The sequence below is a fragment of the Homo sapiens genome, chromosome X (genome assembly GCF_000001405.40).
Source record: "Homo sapiens chromosome X, GRCh38.p14 Primary Assembly".
Taxonomy (NCBI): domain Eukaryota; kingdom Metazoa; phylum Chordata; class Mammalia; order Primates; family Hominidae; genus Homo; species Homo sapiens.
In genome coordinates, this window is record NC_000023.11 from 67,543,549 (window position 1) to 67,565,013 (window position 21,465).

Genomic DNA, 21,465 nt, shown 5'->3' on the forward strand with positions numbered 1-21,465 from the left:
CTTGGTCATGGCTTGCTCCTCAGTTTGTAGGAGACTCTCCCACTCTCCCATCTGCGCGCTCTTATCAGTCCTGAAAAGAACCCCTGGCAGCCAGGAGCAGGTATTCCTATCGTCCTTTTCCTCCCTCCCTCGCCTCCACCCTGTTGGTTTTTTAGATTGGGCTTTGGAACCAAATTTGGTGAGTGCTGGCCTCCAGGAAATCTGGAGCCCTGGCGCCTAAACCTTGGTTTAGGAAAGCAGGAGCTATTCAGGAAGCAGGGGTCCTCCAGGGCTAGAGCTAGCCTCTCCTGCCCTCGCCCACGCTGCGCCAGCACTTGTTTCTCCAAAGCCACTAGGCAGGCGTTAGCGCGCGGTGAGGGGAGGGGAGAAAAGGAAAGGGGAGGGGAGGGAAAAGGAGGTGGGAAGGCAAGGAGGCCGGCCCGGTGGGGGCGGGACCCGACTCGCAAACTGTTGCATTTGCTCTCCACCTCCCAGCGCCCCCTCCGAGATCCCGGGGAGCCAGCTTGCTGGGAGAGCGGGACGGTCCGGAGCAAGCCCAGAGGCAGAGGAGGCGACAGAGGGAAAAAGGGCCGAGCTAGCCGCTCCAGTGCTGTACAGGAGCCGAAGGGACGCACCACGCCAGCCCCAGCCCGGCTCCAGCGACAGCCAACGCCTCTTGCAGCGCGGCGGCTTCGAAGCCGCCGCCCGGAGCTGCCCTTTCCTCTTCGGTGAAGTTTTTAAAAGCTGCTAAAGACTCGGAGGAAGCAAGGAAAGTGCCTGGTAGGACTGACGGCTGCCTTTGTCCTCCTCCTCTCCACCCCGCCTCCCCCCACCCTGCCTTCCCCCCCTCCCCCGTCTTCTCTCCCGCAGCTGCCTCAGTCGGCTACTCTCAGCCAACCCCCCTCACCACCCTTCTCCCCACCCGCCCCCCCGCCCCCGTCGGCCCAGCGCTGCCAGCCCGAGTTTGCAGAGAGGTAACTCCCTTTGGCTGCGAGCGGGCGAGCTAGCTGCACATTGCAAAGAAGGCTCTTAGGAGCCAGGCGACTGGGGAGCGGCTTCAGCACTGCAGCCACGACCCGCCTGGTTAGGCTGCACGCGGAGAGAACCCTCTGTTTTCCCCCACTCTCTCTCCACCTCCTCCTGCCTTCCCCACCCCGAGTGCGGAGCCAGAGATCAAAAGATGAAAAGGCAGTCAGGTCTTCAGTAGCCAAAAAACAAAACAAACAAAAACAAAAAAGCCGAAATAAAAGAAAAAGATAATAACTCAGTTCTTATTTGCACCTACTTCAGTGGACACTGAATTTGGAAGGTGGAGGATTTTGTTTTTTTCTTTTAAGATCTGGGCATCTTTTGAATCTACCCTTCAAGTATTAAGAGACAGACTGTGAGCCTAGCAGGGCAGATCTTGTCCACCGTGTGTCTTCTTCTGCACGAGACTTTGAGGCTGTCAGAGCGCTTTTTGCGTGGTTGCTCCCGCAAGTTTCCTTCTCTGGAGCTTCCCGCAGGTGGGCAGCTAGCTGCAGCGACTACCGCATCATCACAGCCTGTTGAACTCTTCTGAGCAAGAGAAGGGGAGGCGGGGTAAGGGAAGTAGGTGGAAGATTCAGCCAAGCTCAAGGATGGAAGTGCAGTTAGGGCTGGGAAGGGTCTACCCTCGGCCGCCGTCCAAGACCTACCGAGGAGCTTTCCAGAATCTGTTCCAGAGCGTGCGCGAAGTGATCCAGAACCCGGGCCCCAGGCACCCAGAGGCCGCGAGCGCAGCACCTCCCGGCGCCAGTTTGCTGCTGCTGCAGCAGCAGCAGCAGCAGCAGCAGCAGCAGCAGCAGCAGCAGCAGCAGCAGCAGCAGCAGCAGCAGCAAGAGACTAGCCCCAGGCAGCAGCAGCAGCAGCAGGGTGAGGATGGTTCTCCCCAAGCCCATCGTAGAGGCCCCACAGGCTACCTGGTCCTGGATGAGGAACAGCAACCTTCACAGCCGCAGTCGGCCCTGGAGTGCCACCCCGAGAGAGGTTGCGTCCCAGAGCCTGGAGCCGCCGTGGCCGCCAGCAAGGGGCTGCCGCAGCAGCTGCCAGCACCTCCGGACGAGGATGACTCAGCTGCCCCATCCACGTTGTCCCTGCTGGGCCCCACTTTCCCCGGCTTAAGCAGCTGCTCCGCTGACCTTAAAGACATCCTGAGCGAGGCCAGCACCATGCAACTCCTTCAGCAACAGCAGCAGGAAGCAGTATCCGAAGGCAGCAGCAGCGGGAGAGCGAGGGAGGCCTCGGGGGCTCCCACTTCCTCCAAGGACAATTACTTAGGGGGCACTTCGACCATTTCTGACAACGCCAAGGAGTTGTGTAAGGCAGTGTCGGTGTCCATGGGCCTGGGTGTGGAGGCGTTGGAGCATCTGAGTCCAGGGGAACAGCTTCGGGGGGATTGCATGTACGCCCCACTTTTGGGAGTTCCACCCGCTGTGCGTCCCACTCCTTGTGCCCCATTGGCCGAATGCAAAGGTTCTCTGCTAGACGACAGCGCAGGCAAGAGCACTGAAGATACTGCTGAGTATTCCCCTTTCAAGGGAGGTTACACCAAAGGGCTAGAAGGCGAGAGCCTAGGCTGCTCTGGCAGCGCTGCAGCAGGGAGCTCCGGGACACTTGAACTGCCGTCTACCCTGTCTCTCTACAAGTCCGGAGCACTGGACGAGGCAGCTGCGTACCAGAGTCGCGACTACTACAACTTTCCACTGGCTCTGGCCGGACCGCCGCCCCCTCCGCCGCCTCCCCATCCCCACGCTCGCATCAAGCTGGAGAACCCGCTGGACTACGGCAGCGCCTGGGCGGCTGCGGCGGCGCAGTGCCGCTATGGGGACCTGGCGAGCCTGCATGGCGCGGGTGCAGCGGGACCCGGTTCTGGGTCACCCTCAGCCGCCGCTTCCTCATCCTGGCACACTCTCTTCACAGCCGAAGAAGGCCAGTTGTATGGACCGTGTGGTGGTGGTGGGGGTGGTGGCGGCGGCGGCGGCGGCGGCGGCGGCGGCGGCGGCGGCGGCGGCGGCGGCGAGGCGGGAGCTGTAGCCCCCTACGGCTACACTCGGCCCCCTCAGGGGCTGGCGGGCCAGGAAAGCGACTTCACCGCACCTGATGTGTGGTACCCTGGCGGCATGGTGAGCAGAGTGCCCTATCCCAGTCCCACTTGTGTCAAAAGCGAAATGGGCCCCTGGATGGATAGCTACTCCGGACCTTACGGGGACATGCGGTAAGTTTTTCCTTCCAGAAATGTCGCCTTTCGGCCCAGGGCAGAGTCACTCTGTGTTCTGGGGTATCTAGCGGCTCCTACCTGCGCGAACACTCAGATTGCCCCTGGGAGAGCTCAGCAGGGTAAACCTAGAGCTCTCCCGTGGACTCCCGGCCTGCCAGAGGTTTAACCTGAGCTCTCCTAATTTCTGCTGCGTGCCCTGGGTGCTGATTCCTGCCCTCCCAGATTCTTCAACTCCCCCAACCGCCCCAAATTCTCACTACCTCCTGGTACTCGAGGTCCCAAACAGAAATCCTATTGCACGGGCCACCTTCAGAGATAAAGCTCCCAAGCCCTCCACTCTTCCTTTCCTCCTGTCCTCAAAGTCTGAGAACCTCAACAGGAATTTGGGCAATTTCTCCTCTTCAGGTCTGTTAGGATTTCACTTTCAGCCTGCGCAGATTAGAGTCAAAAAGACCGGCCCAATAGCTTCTCAGCGGGTATCCTCCAGAGAGGTAAAGTGAAATTCTCGGTTAGGGAAAGAAAGTGGTCTCTGGGTGCTGAGGTCTGCTGTGTGAAAGGGTGAACTTCTTTCTCCTGAAGCAACTGGGGACTTGCTCCAGGGCTGGAGGTCAGTAGAGATAATCCAAACCGTCATGTTTAGAGTAGGCAGAGGGGCAACTTTCTTGGTAAAGACTTCACAGGATTTGCACTCACAGTTTCTCAACGTTGGTTGACTATGTTGAAAGTAGTTGCTTGGGTCGGTTTTCTCTTGTAAAGTGTTTATTTTCTCTGTGGATTATAACAGATCCACAGCCCCCTACTTCAGGTTTGCATCAGATCTATAAAGAGGAGAATATTCTTTTAATGTACAATTTAATTAGGCTTGACTCTGACTTACAAAACTGTTGGAAAACATTTTTTTGTAAAGCATTTCCTGCTATTTCAGTGTGCTCCAAAATCTCCACTGGGGAGGGTGGAGTGAGGTTTTTTATTATATTCCTTTATTTTTAGGACATGTTTGCATTTTAGAATATGTGCAGTTAGCTCTAACAAATTGAGTAAGAACTCTTAATGACCTATGAGCCGTAATCTTACCCCAAAGTTTTAATTAGCATATGAGAAAAGTGGCAGGCAATTGCATCGTGCTTATTAAAAATTATTCCTCACCGCAGTTGTTGAGCTTCTTGGAGACCATGCTGAAGATTTTCTCCCCCAGCAAATTAAGATATTAGTTTATCTGCTGAGGGAGGACAGACTGAATTGGGGAATTAACTCCTCAGGTAGGCCAGGTGCTGATGTCCCTGTGGACTTTTGTCTTATTCTTTGTTTCTATGGCTGTTTTCTTTTACCTGTGACTTCTCCGAAATTTCTTTGTTAGCCTTAACATCTTTGTTTGGGGACTTAAATCCAGCAATTTGCCTTCTTTCACTGATGCTTTCCTTCTTACAAGGTAGATAGCACAGTGTTAGTAAAGAAAGAAAGAGGAGGGTAGGATTTCATATTATTTCGTGGGCTGTTGAAGAAACAGCTTCTTACCAGGCTTTACATTCCATTAGGTTTTTAATGTTTGACTTACAAGATTTTCAGAGGGTTCATTTGATATTGTCAAAGTCTTTTCCAGTTAATTTAGACTCTTCATTTTTGTAATGGGTTTATGCTATGGGACAAAAAAAGTATTCTTCATTTTATAAGAACAAATTTACTTGGTAGGGTTAATTTTTTTTCTAGGGCTGTCACTAGACGGTGGAGCCCCTCTTCTACTGTAAACTTTTCTTGGGGGAAAATGTCTAAGGTGCATTTTGACCTGCCATGATACTAAACCCAGACACTGGAACCTTCCATCTTCTGCATGCCTCCCCCACAACTTACTTACTTAACAGGGAAAAAACTGATGGTTCCACATATTTGCTAAAAAATGTGTGCCTTCAAAGACAAAACCAAAATTTTTAGGGAATAACTATAGAGAGCAAAAGTTACTCCCATCAAGTAGACAACGAGCTTGGTGATTTTATTTCAGGTCTTAATGAAAAAAGCTTCTTTATGAGGAAGGTTATCATATCTTGGTGCCTCCTTGACAGTCCGCTTAAATTAATGACATAAACTAATGAGAATTTAGCAGTTCCTGCAGAAAGTACAAGTTTATTTTTTTTTTCTGGTTTGTGATTGCTGCACTGAATATGAGGAGTCTAGTTAAAGGGACAACTGGTGTTCCTGTCTTGTGAGTTGACGAAGACTTTCCATTTCTAGGATATAGAAAATCCTTAAGCCGGTTTATTGAAAATTAATCAATTTAATCAGAATGCAATCAATTCCAATACAAAAGTTAGTATTTTCTTTCTTTTTATTGAAAATTAATTTAATCAGAATACAATCAATTCCAATCCAAAAGTTGATATTTTCTTACTTTCTCTTTTTTTCCCTCATTTTGTAGGGATACAATTTGGTGAAAGGCAAGAGATTTCTTAAGCCAAAGCAAGAGTGTCTTCCCTCTCTGTGTTGCATGCATTATGTGCCATGTTTGAGCTAAAAATCTCAAAATTGGGCAGGCTTCCAATGACCTGTTGGGTCCCTCCCTTTACCATTCATGTGTGTGTTTATGTACATAATTTTGTGGAGGGGTTTTTTTAAACCTTAGTAACATCTGCACTCACTCTGTGTTCTTATACATTTACAGTGTTTCTGCTGAGAGGAGGGAAGATGCAAAGGTGGTCTCTTTTACTTAATTTAGCATGTGGTTTGAACAGAAGGAAAAATAAAAAGTGATGGGGCTTGTGTGCAACCCTGATGATATTTTATGGAGCTGTCTGTCTTCTCTCTGAGATCAAACAGGACTACAACTTTGTTAATTGACCACTGGCTCCCTTGGCAAAAGTAGGGCTTCTTATATTCCAGCAAGCAGCACAATAATATGACAAAAATTTATTCTTGGGAGTTGGGTTCTAAGAGAGTGCATGCCAGAATTAGAGTTTGGGGTTTAGAGAAATTATCCAGATGCCAAAAGAACATTTTAATTTTTCTCTTGGTAATTTGTTCTGGTCTCCATAGTAGGTAGTATTTTAGTAGTGCTTTGATATTGACAAGTCTTGCTCCCTTTCTCTATTAGATTTTTCAAAATAAGGCATTTTATTAATTCCTCTTTCCTTCTCCTCTCTCCTCTCAGTTATCAAGCATTTTTATGACTATCTTACAAGCAACAGTTTGTCTTGTAAAGCAGAATTTTCCTTTGAAACCAAGACAGATTATTTCTGCCCATAGGCTTCAGGAACCAATATTTTGGCAAGAAGCATCTTTTCTTTGTGGTCAGCAAATAGGTGGTGAGTTCTGTCTGGATCCCAACAATCAACACCTGAGGACCAAATAGCCACACTGGGTGGCACCCCATTCGGAAGTATACACAGGAAGTAGCCCTCTTGCTTGTTCACAGCTCAAGTCAGCCAAAGATTAACACTGGTGAGAGATATTTTCAAAGAAGTTTGCAGGCTTCCAATTGCAGGGTCATTTTGGGGTGCTTTCTTGCCTGTACTAATTTTATCTCATCAAGCTTCCATTCTTTGAGCTGTAAACTTTGAAATAATATACTGGATTTGCTGGTACGTTTAATTTTCTTTGTTAAGTGTTTTCATTCCCATAGTAATTTTTCATCTAGTGTACATATATGCATTTAAAACAAAAATTCTTTGGTCTCCTTATGCGTATATGCACTGCGGCTTGTACACGTACAAGCTACTTGGTGGGATTATGTGAACTGGAGTTAGAAATGTGGACAATTTTATTATGATTATTTTTAATGGTGATATCAAGATCACCAGTTTCATTCGGAACCTTGCATAAGCAGGGAGCAGAATGCGGACTGGGTGTGGCAAAGCAAGGGCTTATTTTATAGCCAAACCTGAAATCACAACTCTGAAAAATAAAAAAAAAAAAAACCAAACAAAAAAATCAAGTTTTGTGAGCTTGGTCAGAGAAGGAAAAGGAAATCTCTCCCTACCCCCCACCTCCACCATTTTCTCTTTGTCTGCAGCTTCCTCAAGTGCTGCCTGTCCCCGATTTTCTTTTATTCCACTCCTTTCATGTTTTTGACATTGAAATACAGACTCTTCTTTCCACTTCTCAGGGTATTTTTCTTATTACACCTGTGGCATGCTCCTAAAGAATTTCTTTTTTAAAAAAAATCTGTAGAGTAGTAGATTAGATTAACCCCAGTATCTCTCCCTTAAGACTAGATGACATGAGGGGATTGCAAAATGAATAGCTGGGTTTTTTTTTTTTTTTTTTTTTTTACCTTGAGGTTAAAGCCTGGTTCAACAGTTGCTGAGAGAGTTAACTAGATTGCTTGAGGACTTGGCAATTTCATAAAGTATTTTGTCTTATGCTGTCTCTGTCTCTGTCTTGATCTCTGTCTCTCTCTGTCTACTGTAATGTTGGCTACTTTCTCTCAGAGCCTGAGAGACAGCTCTGAGACACTTCCCAGGTCTGTTCGGTTCAGACCTCAGTAGCTGGATCACAAGCAGTACCCAATATGCATATGAGGGTGCGTGCTGCAAGTGTCCGGCTGGGCTAATCTGCTTAAGCTTCATAAAAATTAATCATTTGAAAACAAAGAAAGATATTAAAGAAATTATTCTATCTCCGACTTCCCCTATCAGCATTCCATCAAGTTCTGGGATGTTAAATTCAGAGAAAGTTAACCTTATCTTAAACACAAAGTTGACTTTTAAACAAAATTGCTTATAAAGTTCTGTACAGTTACCAGCATTGGTTGCCCTTTGTCGTACGGAAGAGAATTATGAAATCTCATATTTACATAGCATTCTTCCAAAAAAAGAGACGGTGTTTTCCAGTTTATTCACTGCATTCGTGTAAGTGTGAGTAGGCCAGGAGGGGTGCTTAGTGATTACCCTTTTGCTAGGTAACAAAGTAGAAAGTTAGATTTTCTATGATATTTGTTTACCACGTAGGGGAACCTCTCTAGAGCAATACTCCCAAGCTTTTTCTTCTTGAAATTTCCCACCTGACAGATAATACTTTAGATTGTTGCTCTTAAGGACTTCTCTCAGTAGCTGCTACATAGAGATGATTGTCCGTGAATTATTGCTTGCACACTCATGGGTGATGCTACTCCCTCTCTCTCATGGCAATTCTTGCTGCCAACCTGCAGGCCACACCAGGATTGAGGGCAGCTCATCTCGATAAATTTATAGCATTAAAGTGCTGGGTCATTTGAGAATGTTGTCAATTTAGGTTACTTAGTACCTAAGTTTTATTCTTTAAATAACAGCTTTATTGAGACGTAATTTACAATCCATACAATTCACTCATCTAAAGTGTACAGTTTCATGCTTTTTAGAATATTCAGAGTTGTGCAACCATTATTGCAATCAATTTTAGAACATTTTAATCACCCCCAAAGGAAACCCTATGCACCTTTGTGTTCATCCCCCTATATTCCCTCAGTCCTTAGCAACCAATAATCTACTTCTATCTATGGATGTGCTTATTCTAACATTTTGTATGAATGAAATCATGTAATATGTGGTCTTTTGTGACTAGCTTCTTTCACATAAAATATGTTTTCAAGGTCATCCATGTTGAAGCACATATCAGTACTTCACTATTTTTTATAGCCTAATAATGTTCCACTATATGGATATACCACATTCTATCTATCCATTTATCAGGTGATGAGCATTACGGTTGTTTCCACCTTTTGGCTATTATGAATAATACTGCTGTGAACATTCACGTGCAAGTTTATTGTGGACATATTCAGTCCACATATTTTGGACATTTTCAGTTCTTTTGGATACATACATAGGATTGAAATCTCTGAGTCATATGATACCTCTGTGTTTATCCTTTTGAAGAACTGTCAAACTGTTTTCTAAAGTGTCTGCACTGTTTTACAATCCCATCAGCAACCTATGGGGGTCCATTTCTTCCACATCCTTGCCAACACTTGTTATTCTCTGTCTTTTTCATTATAGCTATATTAGTGGGTGTGAAGTGGTACCTCATTGTGGCTTTTATTTCCATTTCCCTAATAACAAATAATGTTCAGTATCCATGTTCTTATTGGCCATTTGTATATCTTCTTTTTTGAGAAATATCTATTTGGATCCTTTGCTCAGTTTTTAGTTGGGTTTTTTATTATTGAGTTTTAAGATTTTTAAAAAATATATTCTGGATACATGTCCTTTAATAGATTGTGATTTGTAGATATTTTTTCACATTCTGTGAGTTGTCTTTTTTACTTTCCTTTTTTTTCTTTTTACGTTCTTAATGGTATCTAGATTGAAGCACAAAAATGTTTTTAAGTTTGATGAAGTCCAATTCATCTATTTATTTTCTGTTTTGGCTTATGATTTTGGCGTCGTATCTAAGAAGTCTTTGCCTAATCCAAGATCACAAAGATTTACATATGTTTCCTTCTAAGAGTTTTATAGTTTTCGCTATTTACATTTAGGTCTTTCATCAGTTTTGATGTAATGTTTATATATGACTGAGGTAGGGGTCCAACTTCATTCTTTTGCATGTAGATATTCAGTTCTCACAATATTGTTGTTGAATCTTTCCTCACTTAACTGTCTTGGCACCCTTTGTGTAAAATCAGTTGACCGTAAATGTGAGGGTTTAATTGTGGACTCTCAACTATATTCAGTTGATCTATATGTTTATTCCTATGCCGGTACCACGTTATCTTGATTATTGTAGGTTTTTAGTGAGTTTTGAAATTAGGAATTTTGAACTCTTCAACTTTGGTCTTCTTTTTCAAGATTGCTTTGGCTCTTGTGGGTCCCTTGAATTTTCAAATGAATTGGGATAAGCTTGTCAATTTCTACGAAGAAGTCAGCTAGGATTCTCACAGGAACTATATTAAATCTGTAAACCAATTTGGGGAGCATTGTCATCTCAACAACGTTAAGTTATTTTCATCCATAAATATGCGATGTCTTCCCATTTATTTAGGTCTTCCTTTTGTCAACAATTTTTATTGTTTTCAGATTATAAGTTTTGCAGTTCTTTTTAAAATTTATTCCTAAGTGATTTATTTTTTGATACTATAAATTGAACTGTCTTATTGATTTTATTTTCAGATTATTCGCTGCCAATGTATGGAAATATAATTGTTTTGTATATTGATCTTGTATCCTGCAACCTTGCTGAAAATACCTGAGTTTTGAATGCTTCTGGGACTTATGGGGAAGAGGGCTTCTGCTGCTGCACTGAAAGTTAAAGCTTACTTCATTTCATCCTGTATGAAGGCTGCATGGGGACATTCTTCTCAGTTTTACTCAGCTATAAATTCGAACTGGTAATCCCATCCCCTTTCGGGATGAATAGGAGAGTGTTTTTAAATGTTCATCTCTTTAGAGAACAGCAGGAAAGAAGCCTAGTAAGGTTTGGGTAGTTTATAATCCCTTTTTTAGAATTTGGATTTGGGAACTATTAGCAAGGCAGTGAGTAATAATAATAATTTCTATATAGAAAACTAACATGTAGAGGTGACAAATGAAATCACTAGCTATATTAGGCTTATGTTTAGGTTATCGTAAGCAGCTAAAATCATAATTTTATGTTTTTATATGTTGTCCTTTGGACAAAGTAAATTCCAGTACTCCTTCTGATGTGCATTTCTAGATGGGGAAAGGATTCATTTACTCTCATATAATTTAAGCTTCTTTTTAGGGATGTACTCCATAGCCATGAAGCAAAGATAAAATTCATCTATACACAGACTGAACTTTGTCTTCATTAACACTCTAGGCTAAGGGTCATAGCTAATCAGCTACAACTGTAATGTCCTGATAATTGTGAATTAACTGCAGGGCACCCAGCAAAAGGTTTAGTTATAATCTAATAGCTGTCTGTAGAGATTAGCCTAATAAAGGGATTTTTTAAAAAAGAATCTGGCCGGGCATGGTGGCTCAATCCTGTAATCCCAGCACTTTGGGAGGCCGAGGTGGGTGGATCACCTGAGATCGGGAGTCCAAGACCAGCCTGGCCAACATGGTGAAACCCCATGTCTACTAAAAATACAAAAATTATCCAGGCGTTTTGGTGAGCACCCACAATCCCAGCTACTTGTGAGGCTGAGGCAGGAGGATCACTTAAGCCTAAGAGGCAGAGGTTGCAGTGAGCCGAGATCATGCCACTGCACTCCAGGCTCCGTCAAAAAAAAAAAAAAAAAAGAATCTATCAATCAACCACTTTTCATTAAGCACCTGCTATGTGCCCAGCATGTGCTAGGAAGAGATAAGGTGAAAGGGGACACAATTCAGACAGAATCTTCTTGAGGTAACTGCTTACGAGGAGCTTATAGCCACTAAAAACAAAAACAAACAAAAACCAAACAACCAAAAACCAAACAGAAATGCAGTATCATCATGCCATGATGCCTGTATGAGATCCTGGATTGTACGGTATGGATTTCTTAAAATGTAGATATTTTAAAAAAAAAGAGGAATGAATCAATAGAGGCTGAAGTGGTCAGCAATGTTACCTGTGGCTGCTTTTAATCCTTCGTGGAAGTAAGTAGGAGCATGTCTAAACTCAAGCAATAGATTAAAGATCTTGATGTATATTTTAAATAACAGAAGTTAGTACCACTGGAAAGAATGAACTGGAGGAATGGGTTGAAATCTATTTCTGCTTATTCAATAGTGCACCCCAGTCAAGTTAGTTGCCAATTTCTTCTTCAGTTTCTTTGGCTATATCATTGCACTTGGTGGGTACATGTTTATGATGTCTTTATCTGAACAAGTCAGCAATAATATGAGTAATAAATTAAAATTGAAGGTGATTAATGGCTCTGAATTTGACATAAGAGTTGTTTTCCTGCCTTCTAAGTTTCCATTGATCCTGATGAATTGCACAAACCAAACAATTCGGGGAGTAAGGGGGCACATGATGATCTTATAAGAGCTTTGCTGTATTAGACAACGTAACATTCTGAAATGGCCTACCACCTAACATGGGCTCTGTTCTCTGCAGGTTGAGTAGGTTCCTTGCTTGTGGAACTGTAGTCCCGCTATTTGGCCGCTAGGGGGACTGCAAGTGCCCCGTGGCAGGATTTCCCTGGGAATGGTGAGCCTCCATTGATGGTTTCAACACACAGCCAAGGCCCTATCGCAGGATAACTTGAACCAGAACTGCCTAGCACCAGACAATAAATAAGCTACTATGGTACTTACTGTTTCATTTGGGATGTTGTTTCTCGAAGTGGCAAGCATTTTTTAGTAATATTTTGACTTTTTAATACCTTTCTTTGCATATGGAGCAGAAAACAGTGACACTGGATATATTCAAGTAGCACTGTCCAGTTTATAGAGAAGTTTCATATTCCATTATTGCATTTCATTCTTGTTTCTACCTTTTACAAGTAACTAGAGTTTGGAGTATTATAATAGTATTCATACTATTACAGTACTATTATTCCCATTATAAAAATTGTGCAAAGAGTGGTTAAGTTACATGTTTACAATCAAACAGCTTCAAAGTGACTGATCTGGAATTTCAGTCCCATTCTTTCTTCTCCAGATCATGTGTTCCCTGCTTTTATCTCACAGCTCTTTTTACCTTATAGATGGGAAACATGAGAGTCAGAGAGGCAAAAGAACCACAAGTGGTATCAATACTAGAAATTTATGAATTTCTTAAGGCTTCTAGGTTTGTTACCCATCCACCAGACTGATGGATTTGGTTGTGTGAGAGTTCTGGGTGCCAATAACCTTGCCATTCTACTTTACAGACTGCATATATTCAATAAATGCTTATTAAGCATCTACTATATGCCAAATTCTGTACTAGGCACCAATGATGTAGTGGTGAACAGAACAGACAAAAATCTCTTCGTGGAGCAGACAGTTTAATGAGAGGAGACATGTAGTGTACATCTGAGCATGAAAAGTGCCATGCAGAATAACTTCACAGAGTGTAGGGTATAGAGATTGATGGTGAGAGGGAATATTTTATATTTGCTGGCCAGGGAAAACCTTACTGGAAAAGTAAATTTTGAGTAGTGACCTGAAGGAAATTAGGAAATGAGCTGCTATTTGGACATCTGGAGTTAGAATATTCCAGGCCCAGGGAACCACAGGCGCAAAGGGCCTGAGGCAGGAGCACACTTGCTGTGATGGAGGACAAAGAGGCCCATATGGCTGGTTTAAATAAGTGAAGGATGGTAGACAATGAGATCAGAGTTAATGAGGTTGCATGGTAGGTCTTCCTTAGGACTTTGAATTTTACTCCTAAGCAGGTTGTATTGGACGGTTTTGAGCAGGGTAACATGACCTGACTTACATTTTAACAGGCTCCCTCCTCTTCATAACATCTGTCACTCTGATATATTATACGTTTGTTTGTTTACTTACTGTATGTGGGGGGAAGAGACTGTGGGAGCAAGGGGGGAAGCAGGGAAACAAGTACACTGCAGTGATCTGGGTGAGAGGTGACCGTGTCTCAGACTAAGGTGGTATTGGTGGAGAAGGTAGGAAGTGGCTGAATTCTGGATGAGTTTTGATGGTATAGCCAACAGCATTTACTGACAGATTGGATATTCACTGTGAAAAAAATAGAGATGAGGATGATTGCCAAGTTTTTGGTCTGAGTAACTGGAAAAATGAGATTGCCATTTACTGAAATGGTGAAGACTGTATGTAGAGCAGGTGCATGGGCAGGGTAGAAATCAAGAGTTTGATTTTTGACTTATAAAGTTTGAATTATCTGATGAACATCCTGATGGCTTCTTCTCAGTTAGTTCTCATGCAGTGCCTTCAGCTTTGCTGTTCTTCAAGAAAATTAAAAAGGAACTTAGAGATCGCCTAGGCTGTAGGTACCCTCTCCCCTCTTTCCTTTTACTTTATAGAGGTCTATAGAAGGGTAGGGACTTATCCAAGGTGAAACAGTGAGCTGGCGACAGAACTAGGGCACAAACCCAGTTCTCTTGAATTCTGAATCAGTAGATTTTCTTTTTTTAGTGTGATTCTGAGGACTCATTTGGGCAAGAGTGAGTTTTTTGTTATTGTTTTTTGTTTGTTTCTTTGCCCAAACCTAAAACCAGGTAATTAAACTAAATAGTGAATAAAACTGGGAAACTATACAAATTGGTTGCTCTCCCCAATCACACTGAAATATTATTATTTTTACTGAACCACATACCAAAATATTTTTCCTGTAAAAACACAGTAAGTGAACTTTTAAAGGCAATTGAGCTTTTAACAAAGCTAGAATCTACAGAGGACCTGGACAGAAATGGCCTTAAATCCTAGGAAATTAGAGTTCATGGAACCTGGGAGACCATCTTGTCCAGCTAGCTCATTTTATGGGTGAGGTGCCTGAGGCACCAAGATGGAAAGGGACCTGGCTAAGCTCATACAGCAAGCTAGTGCCTGAGCCTAGTCAGAGCCTGTTTTAAGGGTTAGTCGTATGTTGTTTTCTTGAAAAAAGTTACATTGGAAAAGTGAAAATTCTTTGGTCCATACTGAGAACAAAGAATTATACATAATCATATATAATAATAATGATAGCACTTCCTGAATGTTTGCTGTGTAAACTTTGGCACCTTGCATGAATTGATTCATTTAATTCTCATGTCAACTTTAGGAAGCAGGCCTAGAGAGGTTAAGGAACATGTCCAAGGGTCACACAGCTAGGAAGTAGCAGAACTTGTGTGCACTCCCAGGAAGTCTGGCTTCTAACCACAAGGTTCTAACTACTGTGCAATACCAGGAGCTTCTCAGATTACCCTTCACCTTTACCAACCCAAATGACTGGTGACGTAGGTGACTTCATTATGCTCTGCCCCTATTATAGTCCACTGATCCTCACCAAATAGGTGGGTGGCCTAGAGGTTAAAGTAGAGGCAGAGTGATGGAAAGGGGTGGTTAGAAGAAGTTGATGACTCATGATAGGGATTGGAAAACAGGACTACAGGAATTATTGAAAAGGGCCTAGAGATCCCAAGGAGGTTGATCTCCGACTGCTACAAACCTGGGCAATTCAATGCCTGCTTAAATAGGAGAGTTAAGATAAGAAAAATAAAATTGCCAATTTTTACAGTCAGACATTGTTTTATTTATTTTACATGTATTAATTCATTTAATCCTCAAAATACTCCATGAGGTAGCTACAATTATCATTTCTATGTTGTAGATGAAGAAACAGGCACAGAGCAATTAAATAACATGCACAAGATTAGAGAACAAGTAAGTGGAAGTGCCAATATTAGAATCTAGGTAGTTCAGCTCCACAACTTATGTTATTTTCCACTATATTTATGGAATGAGGTAATTTTCTTATAACAGAAAGTTTTTAAAATGCAAAAACATTGTGCCTGAACTTCAAACACTGAACAACTCATATCCTTAATATGCACCAGTTTCTTTTAAGCACTCTTAGAAGGAAGGATACTTAACCTAATGTCACATGGTGAGTAAGTAGCAGAACCGGAACTTGAATTTGAGACTCCGGACTGCCAGACCTCTTTCCACTCTATCACTTGGGCTCCCTTCTAACATTGACTTGTCTCCCTCCATTCCTCCTCCGTATTGTTCTGCCCTTCACCTTTTAATTACCTGTCTCCATCAACAAGATTGGACAGAGAATTGGGAGAGTGAGCAGAGTCCATTTCCTTCCAGAGACTGGACAAAAGGAACAAAATGTTAGGAAAAAATGTCAGCATGTGGGATTTGTGGGATTTACACTAAATAAGAAGGGACACTTCCCAGGACTGACAAGATGCTACCTCCGTCCCTCTAGGCCCCAATGTGTTGTGCAGGATCCCATAGGAAGTCATGAATGTGGTTGTCAGATAACCTTTTTGTTACTGTGGAAATGGAAGCAGGCTACTGCAAAAATCTGTCTCTCCAGGTTTTCTTTTAAAGAAGGTAGTCTTGCTAAATGATAACTATTTCAGCATTTATTTGAAAATGGGCAGTGCAGGAGAGAAAGAATTTTTCCAAGCTTGTCACATTGGGCCACCTCTCTGAAGCATTGTCCAACTTCTAATTAGATGAGGAGACTGCATAAACCAAGAGTTGAGAGTAAAGATGGAAACACTTGATGTTTGGTGTTTGGGTGCAGAAAGGATTCCAGAACATGTTTTGGGTCTCTTTACTCTGTCCATCCCTCCTTCCCTTTCATCTTTGTTTAAAAACCACAGTTAGCAAATGTGTAGTCTGTTTGCAATTGTTCATCTGAAAAATTTGTTTGATCAGCCTTTTGAATAAAAAAGACCAAATTAGACTGAGATATTTCAGTCACCAACTATCTAATAATAGACCAAAAATTTTAACCATGCTCATACTTTCATATGGTATGTAGTTTGCTTTAGACATTTTCTGGGCTTCAGTGAGGTGCTAGATTGACTCAAAATATGGCAGGTCAGATGTGGGATTGAGCAGGGTGGACTCTTCTCTACCCTTCCCAATTCAGAGTTCCCCATCAAAGATGATCTCATAGTGTTTGAAAAACCAAGCTGAAGGCTTTGGGAATTAGGGTGCTGAAGGGATATGCTGTTTCCCAAAGCCTTCTCAGTCATTCCTTCTCCCCCCAGTTCAGATTCTTAACACCTCTTTCCAGGATTAGTGCAGTGATCCCACGTCCTTTCTCTCTAGCTCTCTCTGCTACTCTCTAATTCCTATTGTATTTGTGCCACCAGATCTTTCCAAAGTTTAGCTCCAATCTTGTCTGTATACTGCTTTAAATGTCTATTAGTCTTTAAGCTCCTTAAGGGTGGGAGTCCTGTCTTATTTTTTCCCTATTCTTCGTGCTTAATGCAAAGGAAGCCTTGCTGTATAGTTGTGTAATGCATGATTACAATTTCAGCTTCTCCCCATTGGCTTATGGGTTAAAGTCCAAATTATTTAAATCTGGTGTTCAAGTCCTTTTATGATCTGCTTATTTTTCCAGCCTGAATTCCTGGAGTTCCCTTACAAAACTCTTAAAACCCAGCCAAAAGGATCTAGTCACTGTCACTTTAAACCATCCTCACTCTCTTGTTTTTTGAACATGTTATTTTTCTTATAATCCCTTTGACCTTGAAGGCTATCCCAATTTCAATACTATCCATTCTTCTATGACAGCCCCCTACAAAATGAATATTCTCAACCTCCCAACCCAAGGAGAAGTGATCTATATGACACAATATGGTTGAAAGAATGTTGGCTTCACTTCTTTATCTGTAAACCAGGGGCTAGAAATCTCTAGTTTATAAGATTTTGTGGAGAGGGGATCATATGTGATTATGGATGTTAGGCACAAGTCAAGAGTGCATAAGACCTTTTGGATTTATCCCTTTTTTCTTTCTCCATCAATATGGTACTTAGTCCCTTAAATCAGAAGTACTTGTGTTAATGTCTGATAACGTCCTTCTAAATATACCTCTAAACATCTGTCTCTCTTTAGGGCAAAGGTTGGATATATCTGCAAAGATTCTCTTTGGATATAAGATATCCACAGCACATAACTTAACAGTGGTGTACACAGTAGGTATTCCATAAGTATTTCTTTATGAAATGATTCAGAGTCAATAGTAGTAAGTAACTGCCAAAAACAACTGATGGATTGTAAGTTCCATTAACATAAATACAGTCAGCCCTCCATATCCATGGATTCCATATCCACAGATTTAAGCAACTGCAGATGGAAAATATATTTTAGAGACACAGTAAAAATAACAATTCGACAGTAAAAAAATACAAATAAAATTATGTAAAACAACTATTTACATAACATTGTATTAGCTATTACAAGTAATCTAGATATAAATGAAATATATGGGGGATGTATATAGGTTAAATACAAATATGACACCATTTTATATGTTTTAGTTAAGGAACATGAATATTTTTGGATTTTGGTATTCATGGGAGTGGGGGAATGGAACCATGCCCCTTCAAATACCAAGGGACTATTATATGGGACACAGAATAAAGGAGTTGATTGTCTTGCTCTGTTAAATTCTGGTCAGACACATTTGCAATGTATTGTTCAGCCCCAGTATTCATGGAGCATCTCCTTTTGTAAAGCATGGAGGAGCTGTGAGAGAGACATGGAGCAGTGAACATAACTATTGTTTCAACGTACCTGAAGGATTATCATGGAATAAAGAAGTTAGATGTTTTTCTGTAGTACCCCAAAGGGCAAAAGCAATGAGGACAGATTACAGTTCAGTAAACGAAAGAGGTTTTTTTTTTTTTTTTTTTTTTTTTTTGAGATGGGAGTCTTCACTCTTGTCGCCCAGGCTGGAGTGCAATGGCGCAATCTTGGCTCACTGCAACCTCGCCTCCCGGGTTCAAGTGATTCTCCTGCCTTAGCCTCTGGAGTAGCTGGGATTACAGGTGTATACCACCACTCCTGGGTAATTTTATTTATTATTTATTTATTTCTTTATTTATTTTAGTAGAGACGGAGATTTCATCATGTTGGCCAAGCTGGTCTCAAACTCCTGACTGCAGGTGATCCGCCTGCCTCGGCCTCCCAAATTGTTGAGATTACAGGCGTGAATCAATGTGCCCAGCCTGAAAGATATTTTCTTAGAATAGCTTCTTTCACCCTTCATCAGAAGTTGTCAACATGGACCATATGAGTTTTGTTTGGTCTATATGGTGTATATGTGTGTGTGTGTGTGTGTGTGTGTGTGTGTGTGTGTGTATGTGTGTGTGTTTATTGAATTACTTGCTAACATTTTACTTCAAAATTCAGATTTCCACCATAGGGAATGAAGATCTGGCAATACAGGACTTTCATTCCTACATGGTAATGACCAGCTGTAGGTGAAAAGCAGCTGATCCTCTGGATGGGCCATGCACTTTGCAGTTTGCCCAGGCAGCACTGATCCGCTTTATTCATTTAAGTTACCTGCTTGACTCTTCTAGTCATTCGAGTATGTCATCCCCATCAGATCAGAGACCTAAGCAAATCTTGGGTCCCTTGCTTACTCCAAGGGCTTTCACTCCTCGTATAGGAGGAGCTAAAGAAATGTACAAGCAGCACCACAATAGGATCAGACCTGGCTTTCAATTCTAGCACGGCCACATAACATAGTTGGATGACCTCAGGACAGTAACATAACCCCTCTGAGCCTCTAGATCTTCATTATCTGTAGAGCACTCTTCTTATAGAGTTATTATAAGAATGAAATAAAACAACTAGGATAAAGGGCATGGCACTTAGTAGGTGCTGAAATATTAGTTCCCTTCTTCTAATTCACCACACCATATCTGTCTATCTATTGGCTGAATCACATAAATAGTAAATTCACATTCACTGAAGACATTCAAGAAGAGTCTGGACCCTTTGGGAACCATGTATAGGGCAAAGGTTTGAACTCATAGTAGATGATTTTTACAGTCACTTTTTAACAATTTAAAAGCCTATAGATGACTCCAAAATGCCCATTTGGATGATATGAGGCATACTTTGTGTAGTTAAGGATTTTAAATACATAACAGAGAGGCTGAAGGGCCTTCGGGAAAGAAGCTGGGGTAAGAGTCAAAGTGTAGTATGTTGACCGATGTTCAGGAATAGGCTTTGGCATCTGACAGATTTTGTTTTAAATACTGGCTCTGGGTCTTACTAGCTTCCAGTTCTGGGCTGCTTCACCTCTCTTGAGTTTCAGTTTCTTCATTTCTAAAATGAAGATACTAATGCTTCCTTTGTTGGGTTTTTGTGAATATAAGTGAGATAATAAATGTAAATATCTAGCCCAGGGCCTGGTGCATAGTACAAGCTTCATAAATTGTACCTATTATTATTAGTAGTAGTAGTAGTCCAGACAAACAGAGCTTGGGAAAACGCTAGACTCTGGCTGACATACATGGGCTTTTCCCCAGGCCACTGCTGCCTGGCTTCCCCTTCCACAAAGCTTTGAGTCTCCAAAATGCTTTGGCTGGAATGTAAGCGTGAGGTCATTGCAGATAACAGGGGAGCATGATTTGCTTCGGTAATGCAAGTTATTAAGTTACTTCCCTCAGCCCAGCTGAAATCTCTTATTGGTTGATGTGTGCTTCAAAGTGTGAGACAGAGCTAGTCTGAGGAGAGAGGGAGAGTGAGAAGATTCCTCTTCTTGGCCAGAGGTCATGGTCTTCCACAAGGAACAGAATGACTCAATGCAAATTATGGGACCTCTTTGAGTTTGGGGCCCCTACATTTAAACTAGTAACTCCGTTGCACATATTGGCACCCTTCCCCCAACAAAATTACTGGGCAGGAATTTTCTTGAATCCTTCCGTGGCCTGGAATGATCTCCCTTCTCATCCTTGTGATCCACACAGCTGGCAAATGGCAGGCAGCAGAACAAAAACAAGCCTCTTAGCATATAGGGAGAGAAAGAGTCACAGCAGTACTGAATTTGCTTGGGAACCTAATGTTAACAAAGGACCTTCCTCTCAACACCCCAAACAGATTAAAACATTTTTTTAACAGCAAGTTGTGTCTCGGAGCAGCTCTTTGCTTGGGTATATTTAAAGATCTGCTGAGTCATTTAAGAGCAGGCTGGCATATCCTAAGAGGCAAGGACTATACCCCAGTCTATGGGGGAGTAAGTTGAGAGGTGAAATCTGTTTGGCTTTCTCCCATGGAAACAAACAAGGTGATCCACTTCCATCTCCCACGACTCTGGAGAGCATCTACTAAGCCTTCTTATTCTATCAACTTTGAACTCCTCAGTGTATAATAGAGTAAGGGTGAGAGGGAAGGAGCAGTCGTACCAGTGTCATTATTGGTATGTTCAGGAGTTCAATTTCTTCCTGATTCAGTCTTGGCGGGATGTATTTGTTTGGGAATTTATCCATTTTTTCTAGATTTTTCTAGTTTGTGTGCATAGAGGTGTTCATAATACCTTCTGATAGTTATTTTTATTTCTGTGGTGTCAGTGGTAATAACCCCTGCTGTCTGAAATTGTAATGGCCCTGCTATTGGTAGCTGAGAGTAGCATGGAAGTGTCAGGTTGATGGGTTCATTTAATTCTTTTCTTTTCAGTTTCAGTCACATGCATTGTTACCATGGCATATGACAGTTGCTAGAAAGTGAAATAATTTTTTTTCTACTTTATTCTCCACTGCACTTCTAAATTTATTAGTGGAGAAATTAGCAGTTACCAACTGTTCATTATAGGTACACATTGGGGTTTCCTTAGAGCCAATTTTCCCCCTGGTTTTCATCTTGTAAATCTGTAATCCTAAAAATTAGCAAAACCTAGAGCTTCTCTTTGGTCCTGGCCTGTTTGAACCCTGTTCCACAGACCCCAATCTTCTTTCTTGTTTGAGGCA

At 42.2% G+C, this 21,465-nt stretch overlaps 1 protein-coding gene across 5 annotated transcripts in view, besides 2 other annotated features; it reads left to right on the plus strand.

Moving 5' to 3' along the window:
- AR (androgen receptor) overlaps window positions 473–21,465 on the plus strand; it is a 186,599-nt gene continuing 165,606 nt past the window's right edge. For 4 of the 5 annotated variants that reach the window (NM_001011645.3, NM_001348061.1, NM_001348064.1 and 1 more), the window contains exon 1: window positions 1,075–3,214. Coding sequence is in view for 4 of the 5 variants with exons in the window: in NM_001348061.1 (NP_001334990.1) it covers window positions 1,599–3,214 (1,616 nt within the window). In the remaining variant the exon portion in view is untranslated. Of the gene's footprint in view, window positions 3,215–21,465 lie in introns of all 5 variants that reach the window. The other variant, NM_000044.6, reaches the window with a different exon arrangement.
- Window positions 1,769–1,871: a tandem repeat, named in NCBI's record as "androgen receptor repeat instability region".
- Window positions 1,770–1,835: a repeat instability region, noted in NCBI's record as "repeat instability region; expansion of the (CAG)n trinucleotide repeat is associated with spinal and bulbar muscular atrophy (SBMA)". NCBI's record gives the evidence for it as "EXISTENCE:polymerase chain reaction evidence [ECO:0000082][PMID:2062380, PMID:7702080, PMID:1303283]".